Source organism: Homo sapiens, chromosome 17 (assembly GCF_000001405.40).
Source record: "Homo sapiens chromosome 17, GRCh38.p14 Primary Assembly".
NCBI lineage: Eukaryota > Metazoa > Chordata > Mammalia > Primates > Hominidae > Homo > Homo sapiens.
In genome coordinates, this window is record NC_000017.11 from 11,607,628 (window position 1) to 11,621,303 (window position 13,676).

General features: G+C 44.5%; 1 protein-coding gene across 5 annotated transcripts in view; it reads left to right on the forward strand.

Moving 5' to 3' along the window:
* The window catches only part of DNAH9 (dynein axonemal heavy chain 9), a 371,279-nt gene that overhangs the window by 9,158 nt on the left and 348,445 nt on the right, over positions 1-13,676 (forward strand). For all 5 annotated transcript variants that reach the window (XM_011523703.3, NM_001372.4, XM_017024292.3 and 2 more), the window contains exons 2-6: positions 502-698; positions 2,769-2,927; positions 4,023-4,153; positions 9,784-9,995; positions 11,921-12,154. In XM_011523703.3, the coding sequence (XP_011522005.1) occupies positions 502-698; positions 2,769-2,927; positions 4,023-4,153; positions 9,784-9,995; positions 11,921-12,154 (933 nt within the window). The remainder of the gene's footprint in view (positions 1-501; positions 699-2,768; positions 2,928-4,022; positions 4,154-9,783; positions 9,996-11,920; positions 12,155-13,676) is intronic.

The window sequence follows — 13,676 nt, forward strand, 5'->3', positions numbered from 1 at the left end:
GGTGTGATCTCGACTCACTGCAACCTCCGCCTCCTGGGTTGAAGCGATTCTCCTGCCTCAACCTCCCGAGTAGCTGTGATCACAGGAACCCGCCACCACACCCGGCTAATTTTTGTATTTTTAGTAGAGATGGGTTTTTGCCATGTTGGCCAGGCTGGTCTCGAACTCCCGACCTCAGGTGATCCACCTGCCTCAGCCTCCCAAAGTGCTAGGATTACAGGCATGAACCACCGCACTTAGCCGATAAAGAATTTTTTGGCTAGAGGGCTTTATCCCCAGGAGCAGAATGGGAAGGAAAACTTGTAAGCAGGCTATTCAAGGGCTTCCCCAATTTACCAGATGTCAAGGTCGTATGTAATGTTCGACCCTATTATTAGGCCTTCCAGCACAGTGACCTGCAAAAGGTTGTATATAGCTTTATAAGCCTTTTCCAGATGAGGATTTCTTTAAGTTCTCAGAATTGGAACACCTGCCTTTCTTTCCTGTGCACCTCTGTTCCAGGTTGTTCTACCCGTCCTGGCCAATGAGAAGAATCGCCTAAACTGGCCCCACATGATATGTGAGGATGTCAGGCGGCACGCCCACAGCCTCCAATGTGACCTCTCAGTTATACTTGAGCAAGTGAAGGGAAAAACTTTGCTGCCTCTTCCAGCAGGCTCAGAAAAAATGGAGTTTGCGGATTCCAAAAGTGAGACAGTGTAAGTACCGCCAGCCTGGCCATATGGGCCTCTGAGATATGGGAGATGCTGGTTATCAGAATGTTTTCCTTACAACTTTTCTGTTCCTGACTCTGCACATCTCCTCGTTCTGCACACAAGCCTACTGTCTGCTCTGTTTGCCGACACCCTCAGACTGTGGACTGTGTGTTTACCCTGGTTACTCCCTGGCCCAGCCACTGCATGAAGTCTTCCAAGGCTATTACAGCAATATGGCCTTTTTTTCCTTTCAGAATCATTTCAGGGCTGAGCGCAACCACACTAGCTTTCCGTATTTTGCTTATCAGGATAGTGTCTCATCATTGGCAAAGACCCAGGTCCAGTCTGGGAGGCAGGCATGCCTCTTCCCAGTGTTTACTCAGTACATAATGTCACAGAACTATCGCTGCCGGCTCTTGTTACAGTTCCAGACTCTCCTCCCCCAGCAGCTGAAGACTTTTTACAGGTCCTGGGGATTTTTTTCTCTTTTCAAATAGTAGCAAATCTGGCTTTGTTGGGACCTGGCTTTGTTGGGAGTTCATGCCTCCTGCCCCTGAGTAGGCCTTAAAACCCCAGGCTTGTCTCCTTTTAGAAGTTGAATCCACCGTCAGCTTCTGTTTACCATGCTGACTTTCGAGTTTTCTTTGTTTCTATCCCTTGGGAATTCTTTTCCCCTTTCAAGCCAGGCTATGCATATAAATATTAATAGTATATTTTGCTATATTTCATCCAGCATCTCTATGTGCTTGTGGCAACGGACAGCCTTCCTACATGAGCTCGGTCTGCCACACTGTCAGGAGTTTCCCAATGTATTACTGTCAACATTGTGTATTCAGGATCCATGATTTGATCCGAAGAATAAGTAACGCATGCAACAGATTATATGCGTGCAATGCATTATAAAATACAACAATGTACTTTATAATGAGTTTTTTCTATCAGAAGTAATTTCCTACATATACAATTTGAAGTAATTTCCCAGTTAATTGGAAAACTTATTGCGGTTTAATAAAGATATCCAATCTTCAAAATAAATAAATTCAAACTACCCCTTTTCTAGTCCCTTTATATTTTAACTTTGTAACATTCAGTGTGTGTTTCTAATCATTGCTGAATTTATCTCTGTTTGTTCAAGTTTGATAATTTCCCAAAAGACTGGATCATTTTGGGGGAATGGGTGTCTTCTTCCTTTAATATCTTCCACAATCACTTGTGCCGTATCATTTCTCAGCAAATATAAATTTAATTTAATGAAGTGGAAGTGGGTTTCTGACATAAAAATGTGAATTGTATGTCCTCTTTCTTTGTCGTTGTGTCCTTGATTCTTTGCACCTATCATTTTCAGTTAAGACTGTGAAAATAATGACCAAAATGTATTAAAAAAATTTTAACTGCTTCCAAATATAGCTAAGTTACTTTCTTTAAAAGTTGTATGAGGGGAAAAGTTTGGGAATTCTATTCTTCACTGGAACAATGAGGACCAAGTGAAATCGTGATGGTGATCTTCAGGTGGCTGATTATTAGCCTTGTGAAGGAGGAAATAAACTATTTCCTCTTGCTGCACAGGTCAGAGCTAAGACCAAGATGAGGAAATCACAGGGAGTTAGAAATGGTTCAGTATAGAGACAAACTTTTTCCTTGGGAGAGCCAACCTATTGAGAAAGGTGCTGCTTTGTGAAGTCGAGAGCTTGCTGTCACTGGTAGGATTCAAGCAAGCATTGGGTGGTCATCTGAATATTTTCTGTCCACGGTATTCCTGCATTGGCAGGACAACGTACTGGCATTCAAAGTTCTTAAACTAGTCTTCAGGATATTGATGAGCCCTGAATCTGTATGAAAAATGTACATACACACACATAAGCATTTTTTTTTTCTGGAGAGAGGATCTATAATTTTCGTTGACTAGTCAACAGAGACTGTTATCCAAAAAAGTTAAGAATGCATGGGCTAGATGAAATTTCTCACCTATTTTTTTAAATTTGGGATTCTGTCTTGGGGTACACCCAGGGTTATTTTCACGCCTCAGGGTTTTTGTTTTTGTTGTTATCATTGTTGTTGTTTTGTCTTTCACAGCTTGGATTCTATAGATAAGTCAGTCATCTATGCCATTGAGTCTGCAGTGATCAAATGGAGCTACCAAGTCCAGGTGGTACTCAAGAGAGAGTCTTCCCAGCCACTCTTACAAGGGGAGAATCCCACCCCTAAGGTGGAGTTGGAGTTCTGGAAGAGCAGGTAGGCAAGAAGGCACATGCTGGAAGTCTGGGGTGAAGATGTCTTACAGAGACTAAAGCTAGAGCTTTCCTGGGTTAAGCCACCATTGAGCCTATTCTTCCCTATAGGTATTTCACATCATCAGTGGGGTAGACAGCTCTGTGTCATTGGGTCAAGAGAGTTTTTTGATAGACTGGGAGATGCACACTTTCCCCAAGATTCAATAATCATTTTTCCTTTCCTGGGTTCACATCAGTATGTCCTCTTACATTTTTTCAAAGGCTCTTTGGACTATATGTAAAATTAATCAACTCTTTAACATTTTTATTCTAACTTATCTGCTCCCTTCTCCTTGAGCAGCTGAGGCCACATGCACACACCTTTTGTAAAGTTCTGAATACAGAGGAGTTTTGGGGAGTTGGCTGCAGAACAGCCTTTCCTGTGTTCCGGCTCATCACTCGCAGGGCTGGAAAGTTCATCTTCCAGGGTGTTTGTCCAGAAAGGCTTCATTATTGCTCCTGCTCCTGCTCCTGCTCCTGCTTATTTGCCCTCCTCCTCCCCATTTCCTCACTCCAATTTATTATCGTGCTGATAAATCCTTTACTCAAAAGGAGGCAGACAGATGTTAGCGGCAGACGTGCCTGTCCTGGCATGGAATGGAGATTATCGGTGTCACATGACCAGACATGCCTGTAGGGCTCCAGCCTTTTGTCTGTACCACCCTGCTGAGATGCCCCATGCTCTTGCCTGGCTTCTGACCATTCTGCTGACCTACTGCAAGGCCCTTCTCTTAGCACCCTTGCTCCAATAACGCCTCTCTCACCCTGACTCAACCTTACTGCCAGAGCTAATGACCTCCAGCTGCCAAGCTTTTTGAGCCACCAGATGGTCACAGCAGTGTTTCCTGGAGCTGCCCCTTTGAACCTGTGTTCCCAGCTCAGGCTTTTGCCCTCACTGGGCTGGGAACAGATGTCCAGGCTCTTTGGGCTGGAGCACAGCCTCTGTGGAAGCACCCCGAGGCAGGGCTCCTCTCTTTCTGTGTGACGATGGGTCATCACAGTGTGACTTGCATTTCCTGATGCTTCCCTGGATTCACCCTTCTTCATGATATTGCAGGTATGAAGATCTGAAATACATCTATAATCAACTGAGAACAATAACGGTGAGGGGCATGGCCAAGCTCCTGGACAAGCTTCAGAGTAGCTACTTTCCAGCTTTCAAAGCCATGTACAGAGATGTTGTTGCAGGTGAGGACCAGCAAGTGTTTTCACAAATGTGTTTGACTCAAGTTACCGTCGAATGATGCATTCACCTCTCTCTGTCTGAATTCCGCAACTTCAAGTCCTTGTAAATTTCCGACCCGACACAAACTAGCATGGTGGCAAGAATACCACATCTAGATACATGAGAGCAGCTAAACAGAGCTATGCTGTTTGCAGTTCCACTGCTGTATGGCCTGGGAAAATTCACCTAGCCCCTCTGAGCTTTAGTACGTGTGTTGGTTATGGGGCATACACTTCTGCCTACTTTTCTAGGTCCGTGTGAGATTATACAGGTGGAAGAACTTATTGACTTAACACAACAATGTTCCTGGAGCTGTCCCTTTGTGTCTTTCAAACACTGGGGCCAGGACATACAGTTCTGGGGTGGCCATTATGGAGCCTGTGTGACCAACTCCAGGGTGGTCATGTGAGTCCATCTGTCCTAATCAAGGACTACCCTTCTGGCAAGACAGCCTAACCATGCCTTCCAGGACCTGGGATTATTGGCTGGGACCCCTCATTAACTAAGTGCTTGTACCTCCCTGGCACGCTGGGAACTCCTGGGTCTGGTCAAAGGTCTTTCTGGGCCTGTCTTCAGGGTCTGGAAACTACTAGAAGAAAGTTCTTCCATCCGATCTGCCTACAGCTGCTGCTTTGCACTGTACAAATCCATGTTGTTACCTCTCACCTCTGGAATTCAGGTCCCTCCACCTTTGGCTCCTTGAGAAATCTCTATTCCATTTCTAGCTCCATTCTGCATTTTCTATTCCTACTGTCAGATGGGACTGCAATTTCCTGGCCATTTGAGCACCAGACAAGATCTACGCTTATCAAAATTGCCAAGCCAGCAAAGTCTATGATTAGAAGTAGGTAAATTTTTTTAGGACTCCCTCTCCATTTCTTGGAGCACTGTGCGTCTTCTCCCTTTTTCTTGTAAAATCTCCTCTTTGCTCTTCAGTACCATAGGTCAAAATGTGCTTTTAAAGGTCTTTGTCATTTCACATGGTCTAAGCTTAATTAAAGCAGTGATTTTCAAACATTTTACTTTGCCCAGAACTCTTTCTTTAAATACAATCTCCCATGTAAGCCCACTACATAAAACGAATCCAGGCATGTTTGGTTTAGTAAAAAGGGCAGTGTCCTGTGCCCAGAGCCCATTGGCTACTTCCCTGTCCCACCTTCCCCTCTCATGGCATGGAGTTTGCAAACATCTTAGCTAAAGGAAGAAAAGTCCAGGTGTTAGTTTCCAACATGAACTACATCAGAGAGCAGAACTGGCATAAGTTGTTAGTCTCTGAGGTCCTCCCTGACCCTGAATCCTCATTGCAGAGGCAGCTCTCCCAGCACGTTTGGCTGGCTTGGGACCAAGTGTCTCTTGAGGCTCCAGCTTACTGCTTTGCTGAGAGATTCTGTGTTCCCGAGGAATCAGCTTTTGTTCCCAGTTTACACTTCCAGGAGACAGGTGTCCCCAGAAGTGGTATGTGTATCCCTACTGATGTCAGAAATGACTAGGGGAAAGTTTTTTAAAAAAAATATGTTAAAGGGGCTTGGCACAGTGGCTCACACCTGTGATCCCAGCACTTTGGGAGGCCGAGGCGGACAGATCACGAGGTCAGGAGATTGAGACAATCCTGGCTAACACGTTGAAACCTCATCTCTACTAAAAATACAAAAAATTAGCCGGGCGTAGTCCCAGCTAATTGGGAGGCTGAGGCAGAAGAATCACTTGAACCTGGGAGGCAGAGGTTGCAGTGAGTCGAGATCGCGTCACCGCACTCCAGCCTAGTGACAGACCGAGACTCCGTCTAAAATTTAAAAAATAAAATAAAATTGTTTGAGGGTAATAGCCCTGGTTTTTGCAAGTGATACCAGCTTTCCATTTATGGTAGTGATTTACAGTTTTCATGTTGTCTAATTTAGTTGGGTTAAATTGGGAGTCAATGTAGAGAAAAATATGAAGTAAGCAATAGAGTGCTACAGATTATACATATGTAGAACACATACAAAGGACATATGTGAATGCCTGAAATTTGGGGCTCTGAAAAAGATGTAGTAAAAATATATTATGAGTTTGTTATTTAGTGCCCCAAATATACTTTTCACATTAGTAGATCAATAGACTATAATTATTCATATGAATTAATAGTTATAAGATTCACTTCCCCAGGTGAGCTTCAAAAAGTTATTTGCAGTAGAGTATATGCCGGCAATGAATTTTTTTTAAAAAAGATACCATTACAATAGTGCCAGATAAACACTACCATAAAAAGAGAAATTCTTTAAATATGAAACTCAGTGTCAATGATGGAAGAAAATTTGATTAGAAGAGTTAGGTAGAGACTTGGTCAGAAAATTTGGCAGGATCTTCTAAGCTGGTGACTGATTTTCTCATTTCTAGCTGAATTTCAGAGCATCTTTTTTTTTATCCTAAATAGATACACTATGTGCATTATTCTTATTAGGCATGGTCAGGGTCGTTTATTGACCTACTGATGAATTGGAAAGAAGGAGAGGAAAAGAAATATTTCTGGATTGGTGGATATGAATTAGAAAACAGTGAGAAGAAAAAAGGAGGTTAAAAGGATGGAGGAAAATATGCAGGAACCCGATTGTATGAAGTAGTATTGACTGAGCAGTAAATAATCTTGGAAAACAGGAAAGCAACAGTCCCCTTGAGAAGGAAGAACAAGGGCAATAAAGACTAATTAGAGAGTTTTCTTTATTTGCACAGGATAGGCATGGTACAACCTGGTTGCCAAGTTTCTGAGTCCATTTGTGCTGCTTTAACAGAATACCACAGCCTGGGTAATTTATAAAGAGCAGAAATTTATTTCTCATAGTTCTTGAGGCTGAGAAGTTCGAGATCAAGGCACTGGCAGGTTGGGTGTCCGGTGAGGGCCTGGCCTCTGCTTCCAAGATGGCGCCTTGTTGCTGCATCCTCCAGAGGAGAGGAACTCTGTGTCCTTACCTGATAGACGGTGGAAGGCAAGCCAGCCAAACTCTATGTGAAGCCTCTTTGATGAGGGCCTTAATCCCATTCATGAGGGAGAAGCTCTCATGGCCTAGTGGCCTCTTAAAGGCACCAACTCTTAACACCATCACATTGGCCATTAAATTTCAACACCTGAATTTTGGAGGGGACACATTCACATAGCAGCAATTAAGGATGTGTGTAGGTAGATACGTGTGTGAAAGAAGGCACACAAAGAAGGGCTGTCTGGAGCCAGTGCACACTGGTTTGCTGTGGCTCGTGAAGGGCTGCTATATGCATTGTTTTAAACCTTGCACCCCCATTCTCCCAAGCAGCACTCAGCGAAGTCAAATTGGTAGCCTAGAAATGGACATGGTAGGAATACTGGGAATATTTATACCATAGAAATTGGCAGATGCTACAAATAAACGTGTTTGTCCTCAAAGAGCCTGTTGTTAAAGACTTTCCTGCAAACCACTGGAGATCACTATGCACTTTGCTGTTTGTATTTACATTCTTTAAAAAGGTATGAGCTCGGCTGGGCACAGTGGCTCACACCTGCAATCCCAGCACTTTGGGAGGCTGAGGCGGGCAGATCACTTGAGGTCAGGAGTTTGAGACCAGCCTGGCCAACATGGTGAAACCCCAACTCTACTCAAAATACAAAAATTAGCCAGACATGGTGGTGCATGTCTGTAATCCCAGCTACTAGGGAGGCTGAGGCAGGAGAATAGACTAAACCAAGGAGGCAGAGGTTGCAGTGAGCCAAGACTGCACCACTGCACTCCAGCCTGGGTGACAGAGTGAGACTCCATCCCCACCCCAAAAGAAAAAAAAAAGGTATGAGCCCAGCTCTCTCTCTCTCTCTCTTCATATGCCTTGTCATCCAAGGGTATTGCATCCTGGGTTGGATGGCCAACCCTTTTCTCAAGTATTGTGCTCTTAAAAATCAAGGCAATGCTAATTAGTATAATTAAAAGAGATTGTGATTTTTAAAAAGATTTCAAAACAGGGTATCATAAAGAGAAAGCTCCTATAGCATGATAGTCTCAGCCTCTTTTCTCTCAGCACTTACGGAAGCAAGAGCATGCGCTCATTAGAATGACTGTTGGATTCTGAAATCCCCCACCCCAACACAGAGGTTCTAATACTCACCATCAGCCCCTCCACTTGAGAATCCCTGCCCTAATCAATTTACTGTGACATCTGACTTTGCAAAAAATTCGATTCACATACTGCTTTCCACAACCTTATTTGGGATATAAAGTACAAACATACATATCAACATATTTTTGTGTATGGTGAGCCTCCGTGAAGCCAAGGGTTCAATGTAATAAACTCTGGGTCGTCTTCCTTTTCCTTAGCTGGACAGGATTGGTTGTTTCATGGGAGGGCCCTAGGAAAGTTATTCAGACCTTAATTTCTTCACTTATAAAATACTAAAGTATGAAGTACTAAAGCTGGTTTGCAGGGCTTTCTGTGAGATGGTAAATATCTCATAGATAGTAAGTAGAACAATTCCCGGCATATTGAAACTGCTTCCTAAATAGTGTATATTTTGAGTTCCCTTTAGGATGAATGCAGAGCTTCATCCGCATACTGTAACCTAAGACCACCTGCTCTCATATGATACCACCTGATTATCTGCCCAGGACAGAACCAGCCTTTGTAAACTCGCCCTTCCAATTTAGTTTGTCCAATGCCCTTTTGCATTCCCTCTAAGTTGCTACGCAGATATTAGCATCCAGTGCTGCTGGATTTCCTAGTTTCCCGTGTCAGTCACCACAAGACGACTGGTTAAAGGCCCCTTTCTTTCCTTGGTTGTATTCAGAGGAGATGGTAAGAGATTTTCCTGGCTTTGAAAACCAGCAGAACCTTGCCATAACCCATCTATGTTATGTCTCTATGCTCTGTGACTTTTTTAAAAAAATTATACTTTAAGTTCTAGGGTACATGTGCACAACGTACAGCTTTGTTTCATATGTATACATGTGCTCACTCATAGGTGGGAATTGAACAATGGGTACACTTGGACACAGGGTGGGGAACATCACACATCTGTGACTTCTTTATAAGTGCTCAGCAAGATTCTTTATTAGTGAATATTCATCAGAGCCACCACCATTTATCAAACACCTGCATTGGTCCAAGCACTGTGCTAGTTGTTTATAAAGATTCCTATTGAACTACCTTCAGCCTTCACAAGGACCCTTTAAACTGATTACAGCTCTGCCTATTTTTGAGGCTCAGAGAGGTTACACGTGCCCAAAGTCATACAATTGCCAAGCGTCTCGGCCAGCATTTGAAGGAAAGTCTTTCTGATTCTAAAACTTGTATTGTCTCAGAGATAGCAGCAAAGTAATTGGCAAATATTTACTACCCACCAAGCACCAGATGGAGGCTGGGAGGGCCAGGGAAAAGTCCATTTAGAGGAATGTTACAAGACAGAACTCTTCAGATCATTATCCTAGTTGTTCAGGGCTCTCCAGTTTCCATATTTCCTCATAAGAGCTAGGAAGTTTTCTGGAACCAGCCTTCTCTCTGCTTGTTGTTTTGCAGGTCTTTTACTTCCCAGGGACTAGGGCTCCACCAGGTGGGTATTAGGCTCCAGATGGGAATGCTGACCATCTCCAATTCCTTCCAGCTCTAGCAGAGGCACAGGACATCCATGTGCACCTGATACCGCTCCAGCGCCACCTGGAAGCTCTGGAGAATGCAGAATTTCCGGAGGTGAAGCCCCAGCTGCGGCCCCTGCTCCACGTGGTCTGTCTGATTTGGGCCACATGCAAGTCCTACCGCTCCCCGGGAAGGCTGACTGTGCTGCTCCAGGAGATTTGCAACCTTCTCATCCAGCAGGTGGGCTGCCCTGGGATGCCCAGCAACTGCTCCCTGGGGGCTGGTTGGCATCTAGTCACAGGAGAGAAGAGACAAGTGTCCTTTTTTCTGGGCGAGGAAATAATTATGTTCCAAAGAGTTCTTACACTTGAATTACAGTATTTTACTCTCAGAAGCCAATAATTTACAAAGACATTTTCAGTAATATTAGAACACCTGAGCCATCCTGTCTTCCTTTCCCCTCTGCCTAAGAGGGGATAAGTAGGGGTGGTGAATTTCAACCTCCTTAATGACCTATGAAGAAGGACTGGTAATGAGTCAGCAGCAAAGCCTAAGCAGTAAAGAGTGCAGCCTCTGATGTCAGGTAGAGTCAGGCGATGCTGTACCAATCCCTGGCTTTGCCACTTGGCAGCCAGCATACCACTTCTGTGCCAGGACAAATCACTTCCTGTTCTGTGCCTCACTCTCCTCCTCTGTACAATGGTGAAAACAAGAAGCCATATCTCTTTTTGGGTTGCTGGGTGATTTGAGGCTTCCATGTGATAATGCATGTGCCCTGCACATGGTAAGAACCTGGTACCCATAAGCTATTGAGAAGCAGCTTCTTAGATTATGCACTTCATGCTCCTCCTTCTTAGGGACCCTTGTAGCACCAACCAGGGCAGCATAAACCTTGAGGAGTGTATCTTAAGAAAGAACTAGAGGGCCGGGCGCGGTGGCTCACGCCTGTAATCCCAGCATTTTGGGAGGCTGAGGCGGGCAGATCACGAGGTCAAGAGATCGAGACCATCCTGGCCAACATGGTGAAACCCCATCTCTACTAAAAATACAAAAATTAGCTGGGCGTGGTGGTGCACGCCTGTAGTCCCAGCTACTTGGGAGGCTGAGGCAGGAGAATCGCTTGAACCCGGGAGGCAGAAGTTGCAGTGAGCGAAGATTGTGCCACTGCACTCCAGCTTGGCGACAGAGCGAGACTCCATCTCAAAAAAAAAAAAAAGAACTAGAGGGCTTAAGGAGGTTTGGGTGATCTCTCCAAACCAGTTTCCTTTTCTTCTAAGGAGCTGTTCTCTGAGAAAATAACGAACAAGCTTAATAAGTAACTAAGAATAACTAACATTTTGCAGGCTGCAAAATACTGTTACATTCATGATTTCTATCAATCATCAAATAAACCCTGCAAGGTGGGCAGGGAAGGTCTTATTATTTATTATATTATTTAAAGATGTGGGCTACTGTTCAAGGAGGTTAACTGACTTGCCCAAAGACACCCAAACCAGGACCCCAACCCAGGCTGTTTGACTCCTCCTAGGCTAGTGCCTTTCCATTACTCCATGTTTATCAGCCAGAACTCTTTTGGTTGAAAGTGTAAGAAAACCGAAACCAAAAGTAGGAGCAAAAAAAGAAAACATATTGGCTCATGTACCTTGAAAGTCCAAGGTAAGGCTGGCTTCAGCCCCGACTTGCAATGTGGCCTTAGATGATGTCAGCCAGACCCAGGGACCCACCCTGTTGTGGTGAAGGTGGCTGTCGCTACAGCTCCAGCTTTTCAGTTTTCCAGGTGTAAGCCTCTTCGAGACAGAAAAATAATTATGGTCCAAATAATTCTTGCATTCAAATTACTTTACTACTGAAAGCCAATAAGTCACAAAAGAATACCTGGGAAAGGGCACCTGCTCCAGCCCCAGCTAGCCAACAAAGTCTCATTGTGTTTCCTTGTCCCTGGCTACTTGCCCATTCCTGAGCCAATCACTGTAGCTTCAGTGACTAAGACTATTTGGCCGAAACCCAGGTCGCAGTCCACATGTGGAATGGAAAGCGAGGTCAGATGTTTCCTCTATTATCCTCGTGAAAAATATTACTGGGGCAATGATTCAGTTCAGAGTTGGTGTTGCAAAGTTACAGGATGTCTGCACCTGCTCAGTGATACTAATCTGTTTGTATACCAGGCCTCTAATTATCTCAGCCCAGAAGACCTGCTGAGAAGTGAGGTAGAAGAAAGTCAGAGAAAACTGCAAGTGGTCTCAGACACTTTGAGCTTCTTCAAGCAAGAGTTTCAGGACAGAAGGGAGAATCTCCACACTTACTTCAAAGAGAACCAGGAAGTCAAGGAATGGGATTTCCAGTCTTCTTTGGTCTTTGTGCGATTGGATGGCTTCCTGGGACAACTGCACGTGGTGGAGGTGAGTGCGCACCTCACCTCAGGCTGCCAGCCCCAGACAGAAAGAAGCAGTCCAGGGGTCCAAAAAGTGGAATAGGAAAATGCACAACACAACCTCATAGCCAACCCTCCATCAGCTGGAATAATCCATAATAAAGGTTCAATTGGCCAGTCACAGTGGCTCATGCCTGTAATCCCACTAGCACTTTGGGAGGCAAAGGTGGGTGGATTGCTTGAGCCCAGGAGTTTAAAACCAGCCGGGCCAACATGGCAAAACGCCTTCTCTACAAAAAATACAACAACAACAAAATAGCCAGGTGTGGTGTGCACCTGTAGTCCCAGCTACTCGGGAGGCTGAGGTGGGAGGATGGCTTGAGCATAGGAGGCAGAGGTTGCAGTGAGTCGAAATTGTGCCACTGCACTCTAGCCTAGGCAACAGGAGCCAGACCTTGTCTCAAAAAAACAAACAAGGGCCAGGCATGCGGTGGCTCATGCCTGTAATCCCAGCATTTGGGGAGGCCAAGGCAGGTGGATCATGAGGTCAGGAGTTCGAGACCAGTCTGGTCAACATGGCGAAATCCTGTCTCTACTAAAAATACAAAAATTAGCCAGGTGTGGTGGCACACGCCTGTAATCCCAGCTACTCGGGAGGCCGAGGCAGAGAATTTCTTGAACTCGGAAGGCAGAGGTTTCAGTGAGCCACGATCACACCATTGCACTCCAGCATGGGTGACAGAACGAGACTCTGTCTCAAAAAAAAAAAAAAAAAAGAAGTTTTAATAAATAGTTGTCATTTGGATTGACCATCACATCACATAATAGTGGTTATAGTAGAAGTTTAGGAAATCCTGATCATAGACCCATTTAGGAAGAAGGCCCAAGGAATCAATGAACTAGTTCAATTGGTTTGCAGATTGCCCATAGCCTTTGAACTGGGTTTCAAATAAACTCTGCCTAGAAAGACTGACACTGAGCAAACCTTGGCTGGGCTATAACCATTCCCGCAAAGCTGGCTGCTTTGAACTTCTCCTCCTCCACTCCCCAATCTCCAAGGCAGCTCCCCAAAGTCCAAAACGAATGAGTCCCTGTGCAAAAGAAACATGACTTTTGCTCAAAGTTATGTCTTTCCCTCAATTATTTAAAAATAAATATGGATTTTAGGTGAAGTACTACGGTGAGAAGACATGATACTATTTCTTTGGATTGTTTCAATTCTCAAAACTTAATATGTTTAACAGGTCTCTCAACATTTTACAGCTATGTGTTTGCTGATTGGACTTGGAAGGGAGGGTAATGGGCCTAATAAAATGAAATACAGACTTAAACGGATTTGAGAAATTCAGGGTTGAGTTTAAGATTAAGACAAGAGGCCGGGCACGGTGGCTCTCCCCTGTAATCCCAGCCCTTTGGGAGGCTGAGGCAGGCGAATCACAAGTTCAGGAGTTCATGATCAGCCTGGCCAACATGGTGAAATCCCGCCTCTACTAAAAAGACAAAAATTAGCCGGGTGTGGTGGCGGGCGCCTGTAGTCCCAGCTACTCGGG